This window comes from Homo sapiens, chromosome 6 (assembly GCF_000001405.40).
Source record: "Homo sapiens chromosome 6, GRCh38.p14 Primary Assembly".
Classification (NCBI taxonomy): domain Eukaryota; kingdom Metazoa; phylum Chordata; class Mammalia; order Primates; family Hominidae; genus Homo; species Homo sapiens.
In genome coordinates, this window is record NC_000006.12 from 168,678,259 (window position 1) to 168,704,908 (window position 26,650).

A 26,650-nucleotide genomic window follows, 5' to 3' on the forward strand; every position below is an offset into this window, starting at 1 on the left:
GGAAATGAGGGGCTGTTGGAGGCGAGCCAGAGGCTTATATCCTACATGGAAATGGTCATGAAGGGAAGAAAGAATAGACTGGGCTTGTGAGGCAGGAAGAATGAATTTTCCATGATCTAAGAACCACTTGCCCTAAGTTGGAAAAGACTGGTAGAGCAGGTTTTCAGAAGAGGAGGAGGTGGGGGGATAGAGAAGAAAGAAAAATACTGGCCTTTTGGAGTGAGGGCTGGAATATTTGTGGGTGTGGAGGCATTTGCTATCGTTATTATTATTATTTTTATTTTCTTTATTTATTTTTTTGCTGTCCTGTTGGCATAAGCGTTTCCTTTAGCAATAAGATCAGTTGGTTTCTGGGGTCCTTTGCAATGAATAACCCCAGGCTTGGCTGGCAGGAAAGCAGCCTTAAGGTGAGCCTCTAAAACTATTAGGGCGGCAGCAGCCACCGCACGCAGACATGCGGGCCAGACTAAAACAGTGAGGTCAAGTTGTTTGGACAAAAAGGCTACAGGGTGTGGTCCTGGTCCTTGTGTAAGAATTCCAACCACACAGCCCTGCACTTCGACTCTGTGTAATAGAAAGGGTTGGGATGAATCAGGGAGAACTGTGTGGGAACAGTTTCTAGACCTGTTTTCAAGGAACAGAAAGAGGAGTGGGGAAAGGATTTAGGATCTATGGGGTCAGCTAGGTTTCCCTTTGTGAGTTTATATAATGGTTTTGTTAGGATGGCAAAACCAGGTATCCAAAGGCGAAAGTATCTAACCATGCCCAGGAAGGAAAGGAGTTGTTGTTTTGTAGAAGGGGTTGGGGTTTGAGAGATCAGCCAGACACGATTGGCAGGGAGAGCACGCGTGTTTTTATGAAGAATTATGCCGAGGTAGGTAACAGATGGAGAAGAAATTTGAGCTTTGGAGGGGATATCCAATATCCCTTGGAGAATAAATGTTGGAGGAGCAGGAGAGTATCTTGCTAAGAAGATTCAAAGGAGCGGCTACAAAGTAGAAGGTCATCAATATATTGAATAAGGTAAGAAGCAGAGGGGCGGAAAGAAAGTAAATCATGAGATAATAACGAGGGCTGTACCTGAAGCCTTGAGGCAGTACAGCCCAGGTAAGCTGCTGGGACTGATGGGTGTCAGGGTCAGTCCAGGTAAAAGCAAAGAGAGGCTGGGATGAGGGGTGCAGGGGAATAGTGAAAAGGGTGTCTTTAAGATCAAGAACAGAATAGTGAGTTGTGGAGGAAGGTATTGAGGACAAAAGAGTGTACGGGTTGGGCACCACAGGGTGGATAGGCAAAACAATTTGGTCGATAAGGTGCAGATCTTGAACTAACCTGTAAGACTCGTCCAGTTTTTGGGCAGGTAAAAGGCAGAACTTGAATTATGTAAACGAAAAATAAAATGCTAGGCCCCCCCACCGACTGAATGAACCACTTCTTGGCCAATAGGATCCCAAAGAAACCTGACAAACTAGTTCAGGCTTTGATGGGAAGTGGGAGAAAATCTTCAAATCTATACATGCAACAAAGGACTAATATCCAAAATCTGCAAAGAACTCAAACAAATCAGAAAAACCAAGCAAAACAAAAAAACAAACAAACAATCCCATCAAAAATTGGGCTAAGGACATGAATAGACAATTCTTAAAAGAAGATATGCAAATGGCTAACAAGCATAGGGAAAAATGCTTAACATCACTAATTATCAGGGAAATTCAAATCAAAACCACAATGAGATAACCCCCTACTTCTGTAATAATGGCCATAATAAAAAAATCAAAAGATAATAAATATTGGCATGGATGTGGTGAGAAGGGAACACTTTTACACTGTTGGTGGAAATGTAAACTAGTACAACCACTATGGAAAACAGTGTGGAGATTCCTTAAAGAACTAAAAGTAGATCTACCGTTTGATCCAGCAGTCCCGCTACTGGGCATCTACCCAGAGGAAAAGAAGTCATTATACGAAAAAGATACTTGCAGATTCATGCTTTCAGCAGCACAATTCGCAATTGCAAAAATATGGAACTGGCCTAAATGCCCATCAATCAATGTGTGCATAAAGAAAATGTGGCATATATATATACACACACACACACACACACACACACACCATGGAATACTACTCAGCCATGAAAAGGAATAAAATAATGGCATTCATAGGAACCTGTATGGAATTGGAGACTTTTATTCTAAGTGAAGTAACTCGGGGATGGAAAACCAAACATCATATATTCTCACTCATAAGTGGGAGCTAAGCTATGAGAACACAAAAGCATAAGAATGATACATTGGACTTTGGGGACTTGGAAGGAAGGGTGGGAATGGGGTAAGGGATAAAAGACTACACATTGGGTAGAGTGTACACTGCTAGGGTGATGGGTGCACCAAAATCTCAGAACTCGCCACTAAAGAACTTATTCTTGTAACCTATTGAAATAAAAAAAAAAAAAGCTATTGGAATAAAAAATAAGTTAGAAACCTATTGAAAGAAAAAATAAATTAAAAAAAAAGAGATTAACTAAGAGTGTATCATCTTTTAAAGGTCTAAATAGGAAACTATTGTTTTTTGTTTTTTGTTTTTTTAAGCCAGAGCGTCACTCACTGTGTTGCCCAGGCTGGAGTGCAGTGGTATGATCTTGGCTTGCTGCAACCTCTGCCTCCAGGATTCAAGCAATTCTTGTGCCTCAGTCTCCCAAGTAGCTAGGATTACAGGTATGTGCCATTATGCCTGGCTAATTTCTGTATTTTTGGTAGAGATGGGGTTTCACCGTGTTGGCCAGGCTGGTCTCAAACTCCTGATCTCAAGTGATTCACTCACCTCGGCCTCCCAAAATGCTGGGATTACAGGCATGAACCACCATGCCTGGCCAGAAACATTTGTCCTCTATTGTCTCTAAGGACATGACCTATGAGACTTCTTCTACATAATAAGAACCTTGGTCTCCACAACCCCTTCTCTGAACACAGACACTCCTCCCTATGGATTCTGGAGTGTTAGGTAATAACTCAAGTCTTTCAACCAATTGCCAATCAGAAAATTTTTGTAATCTTTGAATCTACCTATGACCTAGTAGCCTCCCACCCTTGCTTCGAGTTGTCCTGCCTTTGGTATGGAACCAATACAGACATCACATGTATTGATTGATGTCTTGTGTCTCCCTAAAATGTATAAAACCAAGCTGCCAACCTATAACCCAACCAGAATGTATAAAACCAAGCTGCCAACCTATAACCCAACCAGAATGTATAAAACCAAGCTGCAAACCTGTAACCCAACCAGAATGTGTAAAACCAAGCGGCCAACCTATAACCCAACCAAAATGTATAAAACCAAGCTGCCAACCTCTAACCCAACCACTTTGGACACATGTTCTCAGGACCTCTTGAGACTGTCTCAAGCCAGGGCCACTCATATTTGGCTCGGAATAAACTTCTTTAAATATTAAACGGAGTTTGACTTGTTTTCATGGACAATTCAAATCTAGTCTGTCTGATCAAGAAAAAAAAAAAACCATGCTGTGCTAGGATCCCTGCTGGCTGGAATCGGGGAGCAGTAAGCCTATTAAGAAAGAGCCCTGCCTCTCCGGACACCCCAGTGGTGCAGCCCAGCAGGGCTTAGCTTCCTCGGCCATGGCTGAGCTGCTGCAGGTGGGCTCAGTTTGCAAGGCCACCTGAGTCGCAAGGCCTCTGGGGAAACACAGCTTTTGTGGTGCTTCCTCAAAGTCCACTGTGGCTTATTGAACCTACAGGAAAGGGGGGTTGACAATCACTGGAGGGAGGACGGATTCTGGAACAGAGTGTCTGCCAACCCCCAGAGTGCTCATAGGATCCATAATTCCCCAAAGAAGAAAGAAATCAAGAAACAAAAGGAGGGAGGAAGGGGCTAGAATGGAGATGAAAAGAGGAAGGGGAAGGGGCCAAAGAGAGGGGAAGATGTGGTGGAAGGTGAGGACTAAGCTCTGATTTTTTCTTGCCCAAATTCCCATCTAAGGGGTCTGGGGAGTCATGCCCTAGAAATAATAAATCCTCAATGGATGGGTTTTATTTAACCCTATATATTATGACTTATTTTCCAACCTGACTCTGGCATAACATTATGAGACAAGGAAGAAAATCAAAATATTTTATGCCAAAACATGATTTTTTGCCATATTTTGAAATGGCCCTGCAAAGCTGTTCTTTGTGGGGGAAATTTGCATCTGTAGCGAATCTCTATTAACATACCTGGATCTTCTTCTTCCAGACCCTCCCAATCCTAAAGAGATTAACTAAGATCTGAATAGGAAACACTTGTAATCTATTGTCTTTAAGGGCAGCCACTATAAGACTCAAAAGAACTTTGGTCTCCACAATTTTTGTCTTAACCTGAACATTCCCTTTCTATCAATCCCAGGTCTTTAGACAAACTCAACTAATTGTCAACCAGAACATGTTTACGTTCATCTGTAGTCTGGAAGCCCCCGCTTTGAATTGTCCTGCCTTTCTGGACCAAACCAATGTATTTCTCAAATGTATTTGATTGATGTCTCAGGCCTCTCTAAATTGCATAAAACCAAGCTGTGCCCAACTACCTTGGCACATGTTCTCAGGACCTCCTGAGGGGTGTGTCTCGGGCCATGGTCACTCATATTTGTCTCAGAATAAATCTCTTCCAATGTTTTATAGAGTTCAGTTCTTTTCATCGACCAAGGGATGAGCCTCATCCTTCCTCCCCTGTACCTGGGCTTGCTGGCGATGCTCCCACCAGGGCACCCCCTGCTGTGCCACTTCTGCCCTTTGCCTTAAAGCACATCCCAAGCCCCATCTTCTTCTGTGAAGCTTTCAGCACCACCAGAATCAGAGCTTTTCCTTCCCTCAGCATCTGGTGAAGACGGTGGCCACTGTTGCTGAACTGAGTGGAATGACTCCTCCTGTCCCTGCTCACTCTGGGAGGAATGTCCCGGGTCATCTCATCATGGTTTACAGCAGGGCATTTTCCTCCTCCCCTCCAGAGACAGTGCCAGACTCAGGTTCGTTCATTCTTACTGTACCAAGAACCTCCCCTGCACGTAACCCCACTGAGGCTCAGTCACGTCTAACTCAAAACAGTCAATGAATGCAAGCTGAAGGCAGGGGGATGTCAGACCAAAAGCACATATTCCTGTGGGTTATATCAAAGGCTAACCAGCATTATGGGATCACAAAAGAAAATGGTTAAAAGACAATGACTTCCACATTTCCCTACCCTGGAATTCTTCAAAACAAGCAAATGCGGAATGAATGCTCACTGACAGCTGTGATTGTTTTCCACGTAACTTTGCTGTTGGTTAGCGTCAATCTTGCATGCAAAACCTGAAGCACGGCTTGAATTATCAAGTGAATGTGAATGTGAATGTGTCTTTTTCTGAGGTCTATTTTCGTGTTTAGCTGCTCTTCCAAAATCGTCACGTCCTGCTAAAGACCCAGGGATGAAATGGTCGCTGTGGCTTCCCCTGTGCCTAAGCATTTTATGGCAGCACTGGCGTGGGAGGCAGCTGCCAGCACAGTGATGTGGGGCGGCCACAGAGGCAGGCTGCAGTGCTGTGGGTGGAGCACGCTCCACGCAGCGCTCAGCTCCCTGCGGCCTTCAGCTGCTGCAGATGCCACAGGCCTGGGGATGTGGAATTCCTAGCAGATGGCAAGAGTGAATGTTACAATTAGCTTTCTTCCAAGTAGATGAAAGGGATTAAGGATGGGAAGGGTCAATTAGGTAATTTAATCCATTCTCTTGTCGTTCTGGCATTTGTCTTTAAAGAATGTCTTGGATCTCTCATACCCTGTAAGCCAGGGTCAGAATCAATGCGGTTAAGTGTCATGTATAGTTATTTAGAATTCAATTATGTACTCATCAGAAAAAGTGTGTTCAGAGTGAAAGGGATAGATGGGAGTGATTGAAGGGCATTTAAAGGTCTTCATGCATAGAGATCAGTGCCTGTTATCAATGAGCTGTGAGGGGCACCTCTTCAGGTAGGCTGGATTGACCCAGTGGCAGTGGCTGCTGAGGCCGGGGTCCATATTCTGTCCCCCGAGGCTCTGAGGTTCGTGGAGGAGGAGAGTGACGTTCTGGAACCCACAGTCCTTCAAGGGCGCAGAAGCCATGGCTCCCCTCGCCCATCCTCTCTTCCCTTCACTTGACATTTCCAAATGTCAGATGTGAGACAAAATCTGTGTCTTCCCTACATTTTTGATCCCATACATGTTCTGCTGCGTGGGGTCAATCTATATTTTTGTGTCGTGTTATTGCACATTTCAAATAAGATAATTTCCATGGACAAAATCCTAGGCAATGGGGCCCTCGTGGGCTGGTGCCGCACCTGCTGGTGGCTCCTGCCCCACAGCCCTGGGTCCCCTCAGCTGACAGGGAGGTTGTCCTCATGGTACTGGGTTCCCAGGAGCACTCCCAGCTGCCTGTACGGAGTACAGGACCTCTCCGCTTCTCTGCCCCAACGTGGCCTCCTGAACCACAGATGGCACAGCCCACATGCAGGAGGCGGGAGTTCCAGTTCCCAGGTGAAGCCAGGGAGGACAGGTGGGTGCCCAGGCCCTCCATACAAATCAGGGTGGTTAGGGGCACTATTGAAAAATCCCTCATCTGGTACTCAGAGCAACCTCATCTCCCTGCACTCTGCCTTCCTGCTTTCACTTTGTCAGCACAGTCACGGGCGGGGGCTAGTGGAGTCACTCCTCAAAGAAATCTGCACCCATGTCCTGGTTTCAGGGTCTGCTTGAGGAAATGCCGCTGAAAGCCGTGGGGATCCACATCGTATGCCTTTATTCAATCAGCAAATTGACATTAAGCATCTTCTGTGTAGCAGGCACTGAGCTGGGCACCCAGTCCTGGGCGTTAAAGATGAACAAGATAGCTGCAAGCTTTTTCTCATGGAAGCAATTGAACAAGGAATGTGAGTATGAGATGTTCGTGTGTGTGTGTGCATGCCACCTGGAAGGAGGGGGAGAGAAGGGGCTTGTTACATAAGAAGCCCAGTATCTGCACTGAGCCGGGGGATGGAGCCCAGGAGTCCATGTTCAAACGCTCCAGGTAACGGGCAGCCCCGGGACCCACGTCTTGTTCAGTCTCAGCAGCTTACACCGGGCCGAGAGTCACAGAAGTCATTCCTTTAGATGAGATTTTCATCTATTTTTTACTCATTGTATTAGTATTCTCTGGAGAAACAGGTAATAAGATATGTATAAACACACATACATACACATAATGCATTATATACGCACACATAGACATATGCACATTATATACACACATACATATATAGATTATGCACATATATATACATTATATACACACAGTCATACACACATATATGTTATTATACACACATCCATGGAGAGACGGGGAGATAGAGATTTGCTTTAAGGAATCGGCTCACGTGGCTGAGGCTGGTGGGTCCACACTCTGCAGAGCAGACTTGGGGGCTGGAGCCCCAGGAAGTCTTGGAGTCACTGGAATCCAAAGGCTGTCTGGAGGTAGGATCCCTTCTTCCCCAGGGGCCCTCAGTCTTCTCTCTCCATGCCTCTACCTGACTGGATGAGGCGCACCCACTTAGTGGAGGGAGGTCTGTTTTACTCAAAGTCGTCTGATAAGTGCCCATCTCATTTAAAAAATACCTTCACAGCAACGTAGAGATTGGAGTTGCTGGGTACCACAGCCCAATCAAGAGGACACAAAACTAACCACCACACTCGCTTCTGAATTCCTCAGACATTGAACACAGCCTCTGTACGAGCCCCTAAGGAAACAGAGGTTGGCTTTGCCAAAAACTACCTTAATTTCTAGATTTAACACACTCAGCTTCTCGTGGCTAAAGACACCGACTCCAGTGCTGCCTCTCCAGGATCAGTGACAGACCCCGAGGTTCTGGAGCCGGGAAAAAACCATGACATTGTGCAGGTAGATGAAATGCCGCGTTGTGCGGGTGAGGACCCCGAGACTCCGAAATGGCACGAGGCACATCCCGGCTGCACAGCTCATGCCTTGGCCCCTTATGGAGACCCCAGTCCAGGGTCTGAAGAGGATGACCGTTTCTGGATATGTTGCACTTTGCCCTCATTTTGGACTAATAAGAAGAGGTTCTTTCTCTCGGGAGGCTGCCAGCATGGAACACTGGGGAGGACGCCCTCACTGAGTTTTGTGGCCCTGTCCAAACTCCAGCCGCCTGCACGTCTCAGACTGTAAATGTCTCTTTTGTCATCCAGAGTGGCACTTCCAGTGGGATGGCCCGGTGACACTCCTCACCTTGAGACGGGGAGTCGGTGGCTCTCACTGGCGCTGGGTGTATTCACAGCTTGGCGATGCAACCAGCCCTTCTGCTCCACTGCCTTATCTGTCTCTGGCAAGCTCACCGTCCACGCCGAGGAGTCCCCACATTGCCACATTGGCAAAGAGGATGCAGGCACAGAGCAGGGAGAAAGCGCTCTCTCCAGGGGAAGCCCCTCTGCTTCCCTCTCCTTGAGCTTTTTTCCCTCCACATCCCTGTTCAAGGCTGTTACAAAGCAATGTCTTTTAAAGCACAAGCACTTCTCACATTTTGCACGATTCCACGCTCCTCCAGCATGGTGTGATACCAATACGTTAGGAATCATGCCCTGTGGATGTCCTTCCAGCTGAAAACAGGAGCTTAAGAAAATGAAAAAGACGTAAAGACACTGAATTGCAGCCTCGCTTCTGAATGCTCACAGGGGCTTGCTGGGAACCTCGGCGGCGGAAACAGACCCCGTCAGTCATGCTCTAGAGAATTGTGTCTTTAAGCAGTAACAGGGGCTTGCTGGGAACCTTGGTGGGGGAAACAGCCCCCCATATACATATACATAGGTATATATATGTGCATATACACGGACCACAGCTCCTGTTCTGTGGTCCCCTCTCTAGGAGCCTCCCTCCTCCCCTGCTGTGCTCCCCTCCCCAGAGGCCTTGCTCCTCTCCTGCTGTGCTCTCCTCCCCAGTCGGTGCCTCACTCCTGGCCCCTGGCACCTGCACAAGCAAAGGCCCTTCTGTTACTTTTCACCTCTGGCCTCTGCCGCTTGCTCTTCTGGTCCTAAGTCAGTTTTTCCCGGCTTGCTTCATCATTTCAACTCCATTGGTTCAGTACTTAACACAGTGCCTCTGAACAGGTAAATTAAAAAAAAAAATGTCTTGACTGAATGAATGAGTGATTGTGTGATTCCACCTGACTTCCTACCAGCTTCCATGGATGGCTCTGACTCAGGGCTGTGCAGCAGCTTCCAGGACACCTTTGTGACCCTTGGCCGCCCTGAGATGAACTCCTCTGCCATCTCTAATCCTGGGGGAATGTGCCACCAGGCAGGTGGCCGGGGGATGGGGAGAGCTGTGTGTGCAGATGACAAAAATAACTACTAACTTTGCATCTGCAGAATACATGGGTGTACTCCTTCCTTTTTCAAATACTTTTATCAAATTCAATCCAGACTCAGGCCAGGTAAGGACTTTTATTTGCATTCTTCAATGAGAACACTCGGGGCTTGTATGCTGGACTTATTTGTCCAAAGTCACAGAATTCATAAATGGGGTCTCTAGGACTCAAACTCACATTTTCTTTCTTGACTTCCTCTGCCTCTTAGTGTCCAACTTAAAAGACAGTGCAGCCTGGGGTGCTGGGTTCCAGTGTAGATGCTACCAACCTTGTAGATACCTTCGCAGCTTCTGAGCTATTTCACCTTTTCATAAAAGCACAGGCCACTCAGAGTTTCCACCAGAGAGAAATGGCAGGGGCTCACAGGGACCCCCCACCCCCCCCATGGAGATTAGAGAAATACACTCACTACATTCTTTATTTGAAGTTAAAATCAATTTGCAGAAAAGATAAGAAGAGAAACAGCACCTTTGTATACATTGTTGCTTACCTTGGTTTTCTACTTCTAAATGCAGTCATCTCTAAGGAATTCTAGGTAAAGGGCAACTGAGAAGGAAGGCTTTCAAGCACTCCCAGTGCCTAAGGATCTGCTCCCCTTTCTCGCATTTGGGAAGAAAATAGTAAAGTGTCTGACTGGGAAGGAGAGTGAGCAAAGCTCCTCCTGAACCTTTATAACATTTCACTGGCCTCCCCTTATGTAACCCAAGCTCTTGTTTCCAGGAAAACAGCGTCTTTCCTTCAGACACAACTAAAGAGCATCTGGAAGCACCATCATTCCCTACAGATACAGGAGAACACGGTTCCGGGCTGGTTCCTGGGTCTGCACCCTCCTGGATGGCCCATCACCATTCTAGGCCCAACGAGATCACACAGAGTGGCTCAAACTACTCTCTATTTTCTTTTCACCCAAACTATTGCAATGTCTTAAAACAAAACTAAGAGGCCCTCTTCTTCCTCTGAATCTCTTCTTCCTTACCTACTGCCATGGGGAAAAAAAAGGGAATTTATTGATTTAATCCTCAGATATTTGTAGAGAATGGCATTTGCTCATGTAGAAAAGTCATCTGAAACCTCATGAGTTCAGAGTTGAAATATGTAGGGTTTAGAGCTCATTGTTTTTCCAAACATAAGACCCTGACTTTGGGAAAATAGTTAAAATTTCAAAAGCTTTTGGGCATCAGATAACTATTACAAAGCAATATTTAGATACATTTCAGTAAGAATAAAGGAATTAGAAACATATGAATCATAATTTCCTTGGAAACCCACTTGCATTTAAAGATTAAGGGGCAGAGAGATGCTGCCTAATGAAACGTGTGTGAGGACTTGGTGCATTCACAATGCTCAAAACATCATGGGGACATTTGAGGGAAAGCTGGTTGCAACGTTTATTCAGCCCCATTTAGGCCACGCAAATAAGGCAGTGTTCAGAGGGTTCTTAGAAATCATTCATGACTTAGCATTGCTTAACTTGGGCCAAAGTGAGTCCTGAAAATTTGATTTGTGAAAACACACACTAGCTTTATAAGTCTTTCCATATTTTCTCTTAGAGAAGTTACATGAAGATTCTCAGAGGTAGCAATTAAAGGTGCTGATAACTAAAGAATGAAAAATAATAATGTGGCAAGTTCTTTTATCATTTCCTGACTTAATTAGTGTGGCTCATTTGCATTTAACAAATATTTATGGAGTACTTTTCTGTCAAAGTCACATTTTTTTCCTCAGTCAATGGCAGTCTCATATAAAACTGTTTCATAGCTTACAAAATATCCTAGGATAAAAACAAATAAATTAGAAAATCAGTACAAGTAGAACAAGAATTCAGAAGAAAAAAGATAAAGCTTAAGCTGCTGTTGGTGAACAAAATGTGTGCAGAAGGGACCTGTCCCACAGGAAAAACACATGTGGGCTGAGCTGAGAAACCAAGGCAAGGAGAGAAATGGAATATTTGCATCCCTGTCAGATGAGATGTACGCGCCGAAGCCTCCCTGCCACAGTCTTGTTTCTGTTCAGCATTGCTGTCAGAAGCTAATCAGATGATTGAGGAAAAGCATCTATTTTTTCCAATTTTTTTTTCTTTTCTTTTCTTTTCTTTTCTGAGGCAGAGTTTTGCTCTTGTTGCCCAGGCTGGAGTGCAGTGAAGCGATCTAGGCTCATTGCAACCTCTGCCTTCTGGGTTCAAGCAAGTCTCCTGCCTCAGTCTCCTGAGTAGCTGAGATTCCAGGTGCCTGCCACCACGCCCGGTTACTTTTTTTGTATTTTTAGTAGAGACCGGGTTTTACCATGTTGGCCAGTCTGTTCTTGAACTCCTGACCTCAGGTGAACCACCCGCCTTAGCCTCCCAAAGTGCTGGGATTACAGACGTGAGCCACCGCGCCTGGCTTCGACATATTGAGATGAACATTAATTTGTTTCCCATCTGCCTTCTTTTCCAATAGATACATCAAATGGTGCTCATTTTCCTGTGATTACCTCCTATTTGCACTTTACAAATTTTTTGTTTGTTTGTTTGTTTGTTGAGACAGGGTCTAGCTCACTCTGTAACCAAGGCTGGAGTGCAGTGGCTTGATCACGACTCACTGCAGCCTCAACACCCTGGGCTCAGATGATTCTCCCACCTCAGCCTCCTGAGTAGCTGGGACGACAGGTGTCTACCACCACACGTGGCTAATGTTTGTATCTCTCGTAGATACGGGGTCTCACTCTGTTACTCAGGCTTGTCTCAAACTCCTGAGCTCATGCGATCCACCTGTCTCGGCCTCCCAAACAGTTAGAATCACAGGCATGAGTCACCACGCCCAGCCCACAAATTTTGATAGCTAGAGTTTTCATTATCACTCAGTTATAAATGTTTTGTAATTCACTCTGTAATTTCTTCTTTAACCAATGATTAACTCAGAGATGTGTTTTCTTACTTCCTGAACATTTGATGTTGTTTGGTTAAAGTTAATTGCCAGTATAATTTCACTGTAGCTGACAAATATGGTTTGTATGATATATTATCTTTGGAATTTGTCAAGACTTTCTTTTTGGCCAATTTCAATATTCTTTTCACATCAATTTTAATGTTTATATTATATTGTCTTATTACTTTGTTGCATTTAATTATTTGACTTTTTTATTTGAAATAATGTCTAATTTACAGAAAAGGTGAGAGGACAGTGCATAGAACTCCTATATGCCCATCTTCAGCTGTTAACTTTTCACCACATTTGTCTCATCCACTGGCTTTCTCTGATGTGCATACGTGTGCTCGCACAGCACAGGCGCTCACGGCACACACACACTTCATTATTCTTTTTGAACCTTGTTAAACAAAAATTGTGGGAGGCCATTGTTTTTGAATGAGCCCCTACACTTGGTCCCAACAGACCAGATCAAACCAAAATGGAGTCACTCACGCTAAGTCAAGCTGAAACATTAAGGAAGCATCTAGATCACAAAACAGTCCAGATTTTCCTGACCACAGGAGATTCCAGACCTGAGTCAGCGCAGAAAGGAAGCCCCTTCTGCTTTTCCCTGTAAGGGAAAGGGGAACCTGAAGTAACCTGAGGTTACCCGTCAGTTTTGTTTCCTATTCTGTTTCCTGGTCCCCACCTTACAAAACCCACTGTTCTGCCAGCGCCCAGTGGAACTCTCATTCTATCTTGTAGAATAGAGGCTTCCTCGGAGCAGAAAACCAAACACTGCATGTTCTCACTCATAAGTGGGAGTTGAACAAGGAGAACACATGGACGCAGGGAGGGGAACATCACACACCGGGGCCTGTCGGTGGGTGGGGCGAAAGGGAAGGGAGAGCATTAGGACAAATATCTAATTCATGCGGGGTTAAAACCAGCATGTTGGGTTGACAGGTGCAGCAAACCACCGTGGCACATGTATACTTAATGTAGCAAACCTGCACGTTCTGCACATGGACCCCAGAGCTTAAAGTAAAATTAAAAAAAAAAAAAAAACAAAAAGAATGGCGGCTGCCTCGATTCATGACTTGTGAATAACAGCCAAGGGTGGCAGATGTGGCTCTCATTTCTAAAACCTGGACTTACAGCCACGTAATCCCAGTACCCCAAAGCGATCAACGTGGACGCGATACTACCATCGAGTCACAGGCCCTGCTGGCATACCGTAGGTGGTTTCCATAGCACTTATAGGGAAACCCGAAACCCACCAGCCAACCAGACCTGCAGCAGCCGTCGGTCCATCCCCTTCTTTCTGCACAGCCCCTGACTCAGGACCATGCATTCCATGTCTTGTCACGGCCAGTTTCCTTCTGCCTGGAATGGTGGCTTGGTCTTCCCTTTCCTCCCATGACCTTGAAATGACCTCTGCTGGGGCTTTGTTCTCTGACAACCCCAGGCAAACAGATGTGAACTCTGCAGTTGCTGGCATCTCAGAGGCTTGCAGGCCAGTTCCGGGGTCAGCTTCCTCTCACCCGGGCTCTGCTGATGTCCTGGTGTTTAGGTGCAGGGGACTGAGACTGGTGCAGGGCCCTTGGCACACCCCACAGAACCACATGGTGCCCATGGCACGCGAATGCGACTGGGCAGTGCTATCACTCGGAAAAGGGCCTACAGGTGCGAAACGGCGGCAAGTGGCTTGAGATGATTTAAATACCTCGTTTCTCGTGAAACTTTCATCCACTAGGTTTTGCCTCCATGGGTTTCTCTTGCCCAAGTCACTGTTACTGTGAGGCATTTGCAAGGGCCGTTTAATACACCGCGTGGAAACCGTGTTCAGTGTCTACTCACGCAGAGGCCTGCCTTCTGACACACACATCAATCAAGCTCAGAATCGTGCCGTTCAACCATACCTCTTGTTGTTGTTAATTTGCAATTTATGTTTTTGCGCAAGAAGTTATAGGTAAACCTTCTCCCTCTGTCACCTCCCGACTTTTGCATTCTGGAGTTTCCTCTGCACATTCTGCGGGGACGCTGTTAAATAGACGCATCATACTGATCTCTGCGCTGGCTTCCTACTGCTGCCAGAGCAAAGCACCCCAGAGCCGGTGTCTTCACAGAAATCTCTTCTCTCACAGTTCCGGAGGCCAGAGCCAAAACGCAGGTGCTGCGGGGCAGGGCCTGGCTCCCTCCACAGGCCCGGGGCGGGGTCTGCTCCGGCCTCTCTCTAGCTCCTGGTGGTCCCGGCGACCCGCTGCCTCCACATCCTCCTCCCGCAGCACCTGTCTGCACCCACGGATTCTCCCTTTCTAGTGTAACATTGAGCCGACCTACTGGACATACTCCAAACATGTCGTGATTTTAGATTTTGTATAAAAATATTCTCAAAGATACAGCCTCGCTCAAAGCCAGGATCCACCTCCCGAGGACTGACAGAGAGAGGACGCCTCCGGCCCAGAGCCCACAGCAGAGGCCTCACTCACGTGCGCTCTGGGCCAGAGCAGGCCTCAGGCACTTCAGCTCCAGGGAGACCGGCCAGCAAGGTCGGGTATTTGGAAGGAGCTCAGGAAGGGTTCCCCTGCAGGAAGCCGAAAGCAGGAGAGACACCAGGGGCCGGGAGATGGAATTGGAATCTGCAGCATTCTTCAGGGGCGGAAGCCCCAAGCCGTCCATGTGAGGCTGTTGGCCAAGGGGCTGAGGGGAGGGCACGAAGTAACTCACTAGAGACGAGACACAGGTGAGTCCTCCAGGCACCCACTCACAGGAACAGCGTGAAGGTCAGCTTTCAGAAACTTCAGTAATTTTAAAAGGATCTGAAGAGGACTTTAAAAATATCTAAGATCCTTAAAGGGATCTGGTGGGAAGAGACTCCACAAAAACACACAGGACATGATGAGGTGAGGAGTGCAAATCAGGGCCTAATTGCTGATGATTCATCTGCAGAAATAAATACTTTTGTCACGCTGGATCCAGACACGCATGTGACCTCGTTTTAGCTTGGTTATCTGTGAAAACTCTATTTCCAAATAATAATATAGTTCCAAACAATCAAATACAATTTTAAATATTACCACATTTTGAAGTACTGAGGGTTAGAATTTCAACATATCCTTTTTCTGGGGAACAGGACACAACTCAACTCTTAATACCCTCTTACCTGTTAGTGTGATTACCAGATATTTTAGTTATTTGATATTAATATTGGTATATCAGAGTTTCACTATCATTTCCCTTCCTCTTAGTTTCAAATTGTTTCTTTGTTTTAAGAATGTCCCCCATAAACAGCATAAAACTGGATTTTAAATTTCAATCTCCTAGCCTCTGTCTTGTACAAGGTAAGATAACTCTCCGTGTATTTATTGTGACTATTGATTCAATTAGAATAATTTTAATTTGCATTCTATTCTTACTTTGCTTTGTTTTTCTCCTCTTCCCTTCTTCTGGCTTGTGTTGGAACGGAAAAGTTTTATCTCTTTAGCTCATTCCCTTTGAAGGATGTTTGGATGTTTATAGTTTTACATCCTATTAAAGATTACCTAAACATCTTAGTATGCTATTCAATTTTATATTATCTTACAAAGTTTTGAGTTATTCATTATCTCTGCTCTCCTTTCAACAAAGGGTCTTGCCACAGTTTAACCCTCCTTGGAACCCCTCGGTCTTCTGCACCTGGGATACCTGAAATGTACGTTCCCCCTTAACAAATAAGACATAGAAATCAGCTTTGCCAAGAGCTTACAAGGCCATTTTGCTGAGAGCTTCGGCTGTTTTCCCTCTTATTCCTGAAGGCTGTTTTCTTCTGCTGAACTACGTGTATTAATAAACCTTTCATCAGTGCTTGCAGGTTTTAAATTCAGTTTCCCTACCCGAAAATGCTGCAATTAACTTTCTCTACTGGAAGATATTTTATGTGGGTATAGAATTCTAGGTTGAGTCATTTTTCCTGAGTCCTGTGAAAATGCTATTTCATTGCCTTTGAGAAAATATTTATTTTTGCAGTTGAGTCATCAGCAATTAGGCCCTGATTTGCACTCCTCACCTCATCATGTCCTGTGTGTTTTTGTGGAGTCTCTTCCCACCAGATCCCTTTAAGGATCTTAGATATTTTTAAAGTCCTCTTCAGATCCTTTTAAAATTACTGAAGTTTCTGAAAGCTGACCTTCACGCTGTTCCTGTGAGTGGGTGCCTGGAGGACTCACCTGTGTCTCGTCTCTAGTGAGTTACTTCGTGCCCTCCCCTCAGCCCCTTGGCCAACAGCCTCACATGGACGGCTTGGGGCTTCCGCCCCTGAAGAATGCTGCAGATTCCAATTCCATCTCCCGGCCCCTGGTGTCTCTCCTGCTTTCGGCTTCCTGCAGGGGAACCCTTCCTGAGCTCCTTCCAAATACCCGACCTTGCTGGCCGGTCTCCCTGGAGCTGAAGTGCCTGAGGCCTGCTCTGGCCCAGAGCGCACGTGAGTGAGGCCTCTGCTGTGGGCTCTGGGCCGGAGGCGTCCTCTCTCTGTCAGTCCTCGGGAGGTGGATCCTGGCTTTGAGCGAGGCTGTATCTTTGGGAGTATTTTTATACAATATCTAAAATCACGACATGTTTGGAGTATGTCCAGGTAGCTCGGCTGAATGTTACACGAGAAAGGGAGAATCCCGTGTTACCACCCTCCCTGGGGCATGTAAGTAACATGTTGCCTTCCTTCTACAAATGCAATTTCTCAGGTCACCTGGGGCAAGATGTGGGTGGTGAGAGGACATTTTCTGCTTCTCGTTACTTAGTTGTCTTCAGTTACAACAAAGATATTTCGTGTATTATAGATTTTGCTTCAAAAGAATGAGTGATTCAGTGGACATCTGAAGACACTAACTCACTGATTAGCCTTCAGCTTATACACTGAAAATACCTGTGTGGGCCTTTTCTTTATTTTGCTTATTTATCTCTTAAGACTTTTGTGCCTTATGTAAATTCACAGGGTTATACAGCAGACTTGTAGAGCACTTACAAACTAATGAAAAGCATTGATGGATTAGATATTAATGAAAACTGTTTGCTAGAACCACACAGATTTAATAAATTTTTATCTTTACATTGAATGCCTAGACTAGCAGAAAAAGGCATTAATTCCTATGGTCCTCTGTTTCTGGGGATTAGTCTATGTCAAATGTGGCCAATACACTTCATAAGAATTTGGATTGAAATGTGCCCTAGGTCGACGCCCTGGATTTGCAGGTCAGGTGGGTACTTACCTGTTGATGACAGACAAACCTCAATGGCTTGCATTGTCCTGTTGGGGGAGGAGGGCTTTGCAGGTGTAATCCTGGAACCAGGGCTCTCAACGGATCCCCAGGTGGGCTACAGCCATTCAGATCATATTTCATGGAGGCCAGGTGTGCTGTGGAATGTTCCCCTTCCCTGCTCACAGGCATGGGCTGGCAGGAATTCCTATTTCAGGCTGGCTCTGGCTTTTCATAGTTTCCCGCCACAGCCAGCATAATTTATTCCCAGCCTCAAACCCTCTCCACCACTTGACCCTCCTTTTCAAAACAGAAGTGTATTGATCAGTCCAAAAAGCAAGGGAATAGAGTTTAAAGAGTAAAAAATAACTAAAAATACTAATCAGTAATGATTATATGAGAAACATTTTGGATAGAATTTAACATGAATTTGATAACAGGGACATTTAGAGCTATTATAGAGACTCCATTTATTAATATGAACTTTATAAGAATTTCCATCTTCTTTGGAAAATCCTTATTATTTATAACATGCTTTTATTTTGTGGGCCCATATCAAATTATATTTTAAGATATAGTTTTCATCTGTTTTTCTTTTGAGTACTATGGTTATGGTAAATCTCATATGTGAAGTGGATGGTACAGGAAAGTAAAGTATGGGGGAAGGCTATCCAGTTCCATTTCTGCCACTTACTAATTTATCCCAAATAAGTCACTGTGTTGATCTTGCTTCACTCAGAAAAATAAAATAAACTAGTACAATTTCCCATGTACCTAGTTAGTGCTCAAAATGCTGCAATTAGGTACTCACATACCTGGAAGGCACCACCATTAAGCTAGACCAGTGATTCTCCTTCAAGCGAATACTTGTTCAAAATTCTTCCCAGAGTGTGGCCAGTAGGCTTTGGAAAAAGAAAAGCAGTCTTAAGATCTTGAAGAAGGCCGGGCGCGGTGGCTCACGCCTGTAATCCCAGCACTTTGGGAGGCCGAGGCGGGCGGATCACGAGGTCAGGAGATCGAGACCATCCTGGCTAACACGGTGAAACCCCGTCTCTACTAAAAATACAAAAAATTAGCCGGGCGTGGTGGCGGGAGCCTGTAGTCCCAGCTACTCGGGAGGCTGAGGCAGGAGAATGGCGTGAACCCGGGAGGCGGAGCTTGCAGTGAGCTGAGATCGCGCCACTGCACTCCAGCCTGGGCGACAGAGCGAGACTCCGTCTCAAAAAAAAAAAAAAAAAAAAAAAAAAAGATCTTGAAGAAGAATTGAGCTCGATTTTTGGTTAAATTAAAAACTATAGGTAAGCAAATACGAAAGCAGCCATGCAACTAACTAAAGGACAGAAATAAATAAATGGTGAAGTCAGAAAACTAACAGAATGAAAACAAAACCTATCTAAAGAATAGCTGCATTCTCTGTGGTGGTGGAAAAGTTTTATATGTTGATTATGGTGGAGTTGATATGAGCTTGTACATGTGATTAAATGTCATAGAAATATAGATGAGGATATATATTTAAAAGTTATAGAACTATACAGAAAGGCATGCCAAAAATAAAAATAAAAATGAGTGCCTGAAATAAATGGAAAAATCCAAGAAAAGCTGTAGTCTAGTTAATTGTATGGTACCAACATCAACCTCCTGGTTTTTCTTTTGTCCTAGCATCATTACGGACGTTACCTTCAGGGAATCTGAGTGAAGGGCACATGGAATCCCTCTTCACTCTGTGGGCATCCTCCTGTGAGCTGCACATCCTCCTGTGAGTTGCGCATCCTCCGGTGAGCCTCTACTTACCTCAAAATAAGAAAATTGTAAAAAGCAGCTGCATGGTATTTCATAACATGATGCATCACTGTTTGTATTGGTTGAACCTTTTTATGGTGGGAAGATATTGCCCAATTCTGGCCACCCGGGGCCACGTGGGTTTGATTTTCTGAGACTGCCCGTTGAGCTCCATATTCATTATTCTAAGGGACGCCCACTAAGTTTGACGTTCACTGTTCCAGGGGACACCCACTGAGCTCCACGTTTATTGTTCCAGTGGATGCCTATTGATGTCCGTGGAACTCTCTGTTCATTATTCTAGGAGATGCTCGTTGAGCTCGACGTTTGTTATTCTAGAGGATGTCCGTCTTTTTTTTTTTTTTTAGATGGAGTTTTGCTCTTGTCGCACAGGCTGGAGTGCAATGGCACGATCTCGGCTCACCGCAACCTCCGCCTCCTGGGTTCAAGCGATTCTCCTGCCTCAGCCTCCCAAGTAGCTGGGATTACAGGCATGCGCCACCTCCAGCTAATTTTGTATTTTTAGTAGAGACCGGGCTTCTCCATGTTGGTCAGGCTGGTCTCAAACTCCCGACCTCAGGTGATCCGCCCACCTCGGGCTCCCAAAGTGCTGGGATTACAGGCATGAGCCACTGCGTCACACTGTCGGTCTTTTTCTTATCTCACTTGAGGAGCTCTAAGCAGTGTGGGGGAATTATCCCTTTGTTTATCGTGCAACACTTCATCCGGCAGGATTTTATTTCCAATTTTACCTTGTGTATGTTTTTTTCTAAATATTCTTTTTTTCTTTCATGACGAGATCCACTAAATATATAAGTTGTTTCTTTAGAGGAAAATTATTATGTCTTGAAAGAGTCAGATTATGTTGTTGATGAGGTGAACATTCATCCAATAAGTGATAGTGATGTAATTTAAAGACATAAAATGACTTAATTGTTAAATTCATCAAGTTAGAATTTTTGGATAAAAATTTATATGAGTTTATTTTCAGTGTCCTCTCCAGGTTGAAATTTGAGTTCTTTCACTTGCTATTCATGTGATTTTTGAACAGGTTATGTAACCTCGTTAAGCCAAGATCTCATTCTTCAAATGGGCACTATCATAATGTAGTCATCCTAACACTGTTGAGATGAAGATAAGCAATCAGATGGTCCTCAGTGGGTACCCAATGACTAAAAATGCCTTTTCCTTTTTATGAAATAAGCTGGTAAATTCTGTTTGGATACCAACACAAATCTTCCAAAGATCTTGTCACACCACCCTTAGATTGACTTACATTTTGTGCTACTAACAGCATAGCAAGCCTCACAATCAAATGACCTGCACCTTGCAAAATAGCATTATATAGAAGGCTCAAGTGTAGTATCTAGTTCTCCCTTCAATCAAAAAAATACTGCCACAGGCCTGAGCACATGAAGGCCGTGTGTCCTTTCCTCCACAGCTTGGAGGCACAGGACCTGAAGGGGCTGGGCCAGTGTATGGGGCAGATGCACCCTCGCACTTTTGGTGGTGAGATGGAAGCTGGCAACGTCTCTCACCCTGCATTCCAGCATCAACGCCCTGTCCAGCCCTGGCATTTGCTTGGAATAACTCATCATTGCTTCACAAACCTGCCTTCTGCATGGGAGTAACAGAGTGACATTTGATAGCCCAACAAGTTGTCCTCACGAGTGCCATGAATGGAGCCCTGCCTAGACAGGAGACAAGGGGCCCAAACCTTGGGGATGGCTCAGATGCTGCTAGTTATAGGGGCTGCAGAGCAACAGGCTTTCAGGGGAGTTAGCTTAATACTTGGCAAATTGCGCTGCGCTTGCTGCAAGGAAACCAGGTGGCATTTCTCGAGAGTCCCAGGGGCTTCCAGTCTCCTCTTCCTACCTGGGAGCACTAAGCAGAGGAACCAGAGGGGACTGGGGGTGCAAGATGTGCAAGGAGCTGAATCACATTCATCCCATGCATTCGCTAAACAGACTAACTCATACTAAAAACATGAAAGCAAATCTCACAAAGAATGCTGTTTCTTTTCTATCATTACAAAAAAATCAAGGCACAAAGTATTCACCCGATGGTCAGCTCATGCTAAGTACTGGTCTTCTCTTTACTTTGAATATGGGAAGAAATTCCTGCATCCTCCATGGCTGCCGCTTTCCATGGCTGTTGGTTGGTGCAGGAGACAGACACAGCTTTAGTGTTGCCATAGGAGCTGGCCACCTGGAGAATATTAGGCTTAATTAGCACTTTGACATTTCCCAGGAATTTAAATACACTTGACTCTCACTCCATGTGTATTTTTCTGACCCTGGGGAGGCTGGATGCCAGGGTTCTCTAGCAGACGCTGGTGGCTCCGGGTGGCATGAGCTGGAGCCGCCTTCAGCACCCTGCCAGGCGCCCAGCCTGGATGAATGCATCTTTTTGAGCCACTTTTTGGCTTTCAGAGATTCTGAGGACACCACCTCTCCCTGTTCTCCTGAGTTTTCAAGGAGAGGGTTTTTACTTGGAGCCAGGACAAGAACACTGCCGCGTCTCAGCCGTGCCAAATGAGAACCACATGCAGGAGGCGTCCTGGAGAGCAGCAGACTCGCGGCCTCCTGGCTCCTGGCCTGGCAGCTCCTAGGATGGAGACAGCAGTGCTGGCTGATCGTCCAGCGCAGCATGGGGAGCGGGGCAGGAGAAGGGGCAGGAGAGCTTGCTACTCCTTTTCGTGGCTGTTTTTGAAAATTTTGTGACACTTTTTTTTAATTCCTATAAAATGAGAAATGAAAATTCCATTCATTTTCAGTGTTTAAATGGGAACTGTAATTCTACCCTCTGATGATGTAAAAACAAATAATTCATTAAAATGGGACTGGAAAATGTTGCCACCTCCTGATATTTAATCCATATGTTTTTGTTTTGTTTTGTTTTGTTTTGTTTTTTGAGACCGAGTCTCACTCTTTCTCCAAGGCTAGAGTGCACAGTCTTGGCTCACTGCAATCTCCACCTTCTAGGTTCAAGTGATTCTCCTGCCTCAGCCTCCCGAGTGGCTGGGATTACAGGCGCCCACCACCATGCCCAGCTAATTTTGTATTTTCGTACAGACGGGGTTTCATCATGTTGGTCAGGCTGGTCTGGAACTCCTAACCTCAGGTGACCCACCTCAGTCTACCAAAGTGCTGGGATTACTGGCATGGGCCACCGCACCCAGCCTTCCATATGTATTTAATTCAGAAAATGTATTAGGATGGAAGTTTCAAACAGGCTGAAGAAGGGAAAATGGAAAGTCACTGGTGGATAAGGTCAGACACCACTGTCATTCCACCACAGGCTCTTGGTGGCAGGGGGATTGAAAAGGGGGCCCCCACCCTCTGCATCCAGGAACAGCACACCTGGGCGGTGTGGCAATGTCTGGCATACAGGTGTGTTAGAGGCTGAGCAGGTGAGCAGAGGTGCATCTGTGCCTTTGCACACTGCCTGCGTCCATTGCCCTGGCCTGCCGCCCAGAGCCCTTCCCTTGAGCACAGCAGCCCTCCTGCCAGCTCCCTGGACCCAGTGCCCTTATGGCCTGGAAAGAAAATCGGTTGCCCCTCTTGCCAAGCAAAACACCTCTCCTCTCCTGAGTCATGCTCCTGAGGTGTCGGGAGGCCGGGACCGAGTCCAGTCATTATCCTCCCCCTAGCACCGCCTTCCCCCCACTGATGAGGGCAGAGGGGTCTCACAGCTTCTCCTTGTTCCTCTGCTTCTCCCCACTCCTGAGCCTCTCCCCATTTCTCCGCCTCTCCCCTGTTCCATCTGGCAGCACCATGACATGGTGGAAATAATGCTGGGACTGGAGACAGGTGGTAGCCCCCAGGCCTCTCTCTGTGTGGATAGCCTGGAGCCCTGGTTGTGGGCAGAGAATAGACTGGGGCCAGACTCAGCACAGGTGTGAGGCTCAAGGCAACGGGCCTTGGGAAGTAAGCAGGGAGGGCATCATGGTGGTGGCTACCAGCCTGGGCTGGCATGGAGAGCTTGGTCACTGCATCTGAACCTGTCTTTAACACAGAACTATCTCGACATCCATGGTGCTACCTTAGAAACCAGCCTTTGCTAGAACAGGTAGACGGAATCTGCCTTCTGTATGCTCTGAGTGATTCCAGAGACTGCCACTCTAGGCATTTTCCTACTCGTGGTCCAAAATTGGTCTTTCAGGCGAGTCTAGTTAGGAGACAGCAAGGTGACATGAGGGGTTAGGGGCTGTGTCACTCCAGAACTCTGACCTCCTCCACCTTTAGTCACTGTGTAACTTGTTAAATGTCTCTCCCCGCATTTTCTAACTACTGAAATGGAGATGAATGTCCACCTGTTGGGGTGCTGGGTCGTTTACCTGGAACTGGGTGTGGAGTGCTTAGCGCTCAGCAGGGGCTGGGTTACTGCACCGAACTCCAGTTCCTCCTCCACCACTAGTGCCCTTCCCTGCTCCAAGCCACCAAGCAAACCATCACCTGGGAGAGGCGAGCTGGGCTCCTGCCCTGTTGGGGCACAAGATTCGGGCAGGACAGAGGCTCCTGGACACCCTTCCCCATCAGGCCTGCTGAGAAGACGACCCACGAGGGAAAGCCCATGACCACACTATGTTCTCCAGTGTTGAAGTGACGGGAGACACACCTGGGTATAGAATGGGTATTCTCCCCACATCAGGAGGGCGCGCTCACTTGGATGCTGGCCCTGCTCAACGGCCTCGTGTCCTGCAGCTTCTCCCCAGCATAGCCGATGTGGCATGGCTTCCGTGGTGTTCCTGCTGTACCTCTGCATGTTTGGGTGAGCACTGCTGCACCCCCCCATTTGTCTCTCCTAGATTTGGAAGACAGCGCTGTCCACACTCCTCTCTGTCGTTCATGGATTTGGGGGACAGCGCTCTCTACCCCCTTCCTCTGTGTCATTTGTGGATTTGGGGTACAGCACTCTCTACCCTCCTCCTCTGTGTCATATGTAGATTCACCTCCTCCAGCAGGTACCTTCCTTAAGGGCAGGGCCTGAGTCTCTCACACACAGTCTCGGTATCTGGTGCAGTTAGTAATTAATATGCACGTGGCTGGAGCGACTAGTTCAGCCTTAGGCCATCGCCAATTGAGAGTCCAGGTTGCTTTCAACAACAATTCCAGAGCTTCAGGTCTTTTCCCCAGAACTTACAGATGGGAAAAATTGTCTCCTGTGAAACCAGTTCCTGGTGCCAAAAAGGTGGGGAATGGCTGCCTTGCATGGTTCCCTTTGTCTTTTTGAAGAGATGATGTTTTCCCAAATTACCTCGTGACTAAGTGCCACCGTAGTTTATTAGGATTTCTGTGTAAAATGCTCCTGAACATGAGGACAAAAGGGCCTCATGAAGCCTCAGTAGGACTGGACCCCTTCTCCCAGGAAACACTGGGATGCGAGCAGATCCTAGTGCCAGCCCTAGCCTTGCTCCCCTGTCAAAGGGCACGCTGCCTCACCCTGGGTGGGGGACAGGTGGTCTTTCCTGCATTGCTCTTCATTTTGGTAGCTTTCCATTCAGCCCTGAAGGCCTTGCCTTTTCTCACCATCTTATCAGTATAGCTGATAGCCCAAGACCTCAGCCAGTCCTGCCACCATTGACATTCTCCTGGGTTAGCTGATAGCCCAGGACCTCAGCCAGGCCCTGCCACCAGTGACCTTCTCCTGGGTGCCCCTGGGCTTTTCATATTTTCTTTCCCATCCTTCGCTTGAGTGCAGAGGGCTCCTGGTTTCATTCCTGTGACCGCATCCTCTCACTCTCCTCCCATGACTCTGGTTCCATTTGCCATTCACACTCCAAACAAGCGTCCTGCACCTTTTAGCCAAATGTCCTTCTGGCGATATTGTGATCCTGGTAAGAGTGGAGAAATAATAATCCACCCACAAACTCTCACCATCCAGGAGAAAGAAAACTATCCCTGTCCTCCTTCTAAACATTGCATAGAATACACATAGAAATCAAAAGGGTTTTTTTGTTGTTTTTTTTGGAACCAAAACATGAAGCAGACATGTTTTCCTTTTCCATTTTCCTTTGGCCACAAATATTGAAATGAAAATGGCAACTGAGCTCTAAATGTAAAACCCACCAAGAGGTGGTAATAAACTGTGAAGCATTAGCCTTCAGTCTTCAAACTGAGAGTTCAGCCTTTCCCTGTCAGTTCAGCCCCACGTGGGGTGCAGGCCTTCCCTGCACTGGCAGGAAACTGAAGTAGGAGCAGATCTCTTCATTGGGCTGTGAGATGGGGCTGCAGGCTGTGGGGGCTGGTAGATGTTTAACAACCGGCCCCTCTCTCGCACACACCTCTCTCCACACACAAAGAAGACAAGGAAAAAATAAGTCCTGGTTTTCAGCATCTACCAATTTCAGTGGTATAAATACTTCCACGTTGGTTGGTATCAAGCCTCCAACATGGCATCAATCAACACACAGAGTTCCTTAGAACTTGACCATTGCCTCTGGGCCACTGGCGTGGGCCTGCTGTAGCCCGGCGAATTGTGAGCCCAACCAGGGTAAAGCTGAACCTGGGAGTCTTCCACGGGCTTCTGTGTTTTTGGCGTGTTTCCTGGAAAGGGGCATCCTGGCTCTGACCTCATTTTCATGCTTGGCTGTCAGCTGAGCTGTGAGTGGAATGAGGGGCGGGCCCGCCACGTGGGGAGGGCAGTTGCTGTGGCCATCTGGATGGTGGCTTGGGTCACGTTTGCAGGGCTAATAGAATCTCATAGAATGCAAAGCTTGAGGAGAACTCGGTCCGCTCTGGCCGCGGTTAGATCCCTCCGCAGGCACAGACTATTGCTGGTGCCAGAGATGCTCCTCTCGGGGGGCACAGTGAAGCCGGCAGGGAAACCAAACAGCCTGAGCGTCTTTTTCGGGGGCTGGGATTGAGCAGCTGCGCTGCGATGATCCGCTTCCACGCACAAGGCCACAAACATGGCTTTGGAGCCCACCATACAGTGACTCCTTTGACGTAGAAGTAACATTTATTAAGGAGAAGAACACTGGCTCTATGTATTCCCTCAGTCAGTGGCTTTTTCGCCTGAGACCCTTAAGGAATCCTCTAGGAACAGTCTGCCATGGGCTTCTCTCTTAAGGTACTCCCCCCTCCTTCATGACAAAATAATAATAACTGCACCTCACAGGCAAGTGGACAAAATAATCTTAACTACACCTCACAGGCAAGCAGCACTCTGGCACTGGCAGAACACTTGTTATCTAATATGTCCCATTTCGCGTTTGCAGCAAGACCGCAAAGCTTACAGTACATTATGCATTTGGAGACCAGAAGTGGCCCGAACCCCACAGGGCACTGGACTGGAGGGTGGAGCTCCCATGTCAACCTGGAATCCCCCTCCCAGAGGCTCCTCCC

The 26,650-nt window shown here is 46.5% G+C and overlaps 2 long non-coding RNA genes across 2 annotated transcripts, besides 2 other annotated features; both read left to right on the plus strand.

The window, feature by feature from the left end:
- The first annotated feature begins 420 nt into the window (after positions 1-420).
- On the plus strand, positions 421-9,170 carry LOC124901468 (uncharacterized). The gene is made up of 4 exons (XR_007059886.1): positions 421-1,023; positions 4,858-5,008; positions 6,830-6,919; positions 7,810-9,170. It is a non-coding gene; the product is annotated as an uncharacterized LOC124901468 (long non-coding RNA).
- A 7,518-nt stretch (positions 9,171-16,688) lies between these two features.
- LOC105378142 (uncharacterized) lies at positions 16,689-22,150 on the plus strand. Its single transcript, XR_943294.3, has 3 exons — positions 16,689-16,966; positions 19,182-19,297; positions 19,670-22,150. It is a non-coding gene; the product is annotated as an uncharacterized LOC105378142 (long non-coding RNA).
- Positions 17,341-17,855: an enhancer, noted in NCBI's record as "OCT4-NANOG hESC enhancer chr6:169095714-169096228 (GRCh37/hg19 assembly coordinates)". NCBI's record gives its function as "activates a minimal SCP1, AML or CMV promoter by ChIP-STARR-seq in primed H9 embryonic stem cells {active_cell/tissue: H9 hESC(primed)}" and the evidence as "EXISTENCE:reporter gene assay evidence [ECO:0000049][PMID:30033119]".
- Positions 23,366-23,867: an enhancer, noted in NCBI's record as "H3K4me1 hESC enhancer chr6:169101755-169102256 (GRCh37/hg19 assembly coordinates)". NCBI's record gives its function as "activates a minimal SCP1, AML or CMV promoter by ChIP-STARR-seq in naive H9 embryonic stem cells {active_cell/tissue: H9 hESC(naive)}" and the evidence as "EXISTENCE:reporter gene assay evidence [ECO:0000049][PMID:30033119]".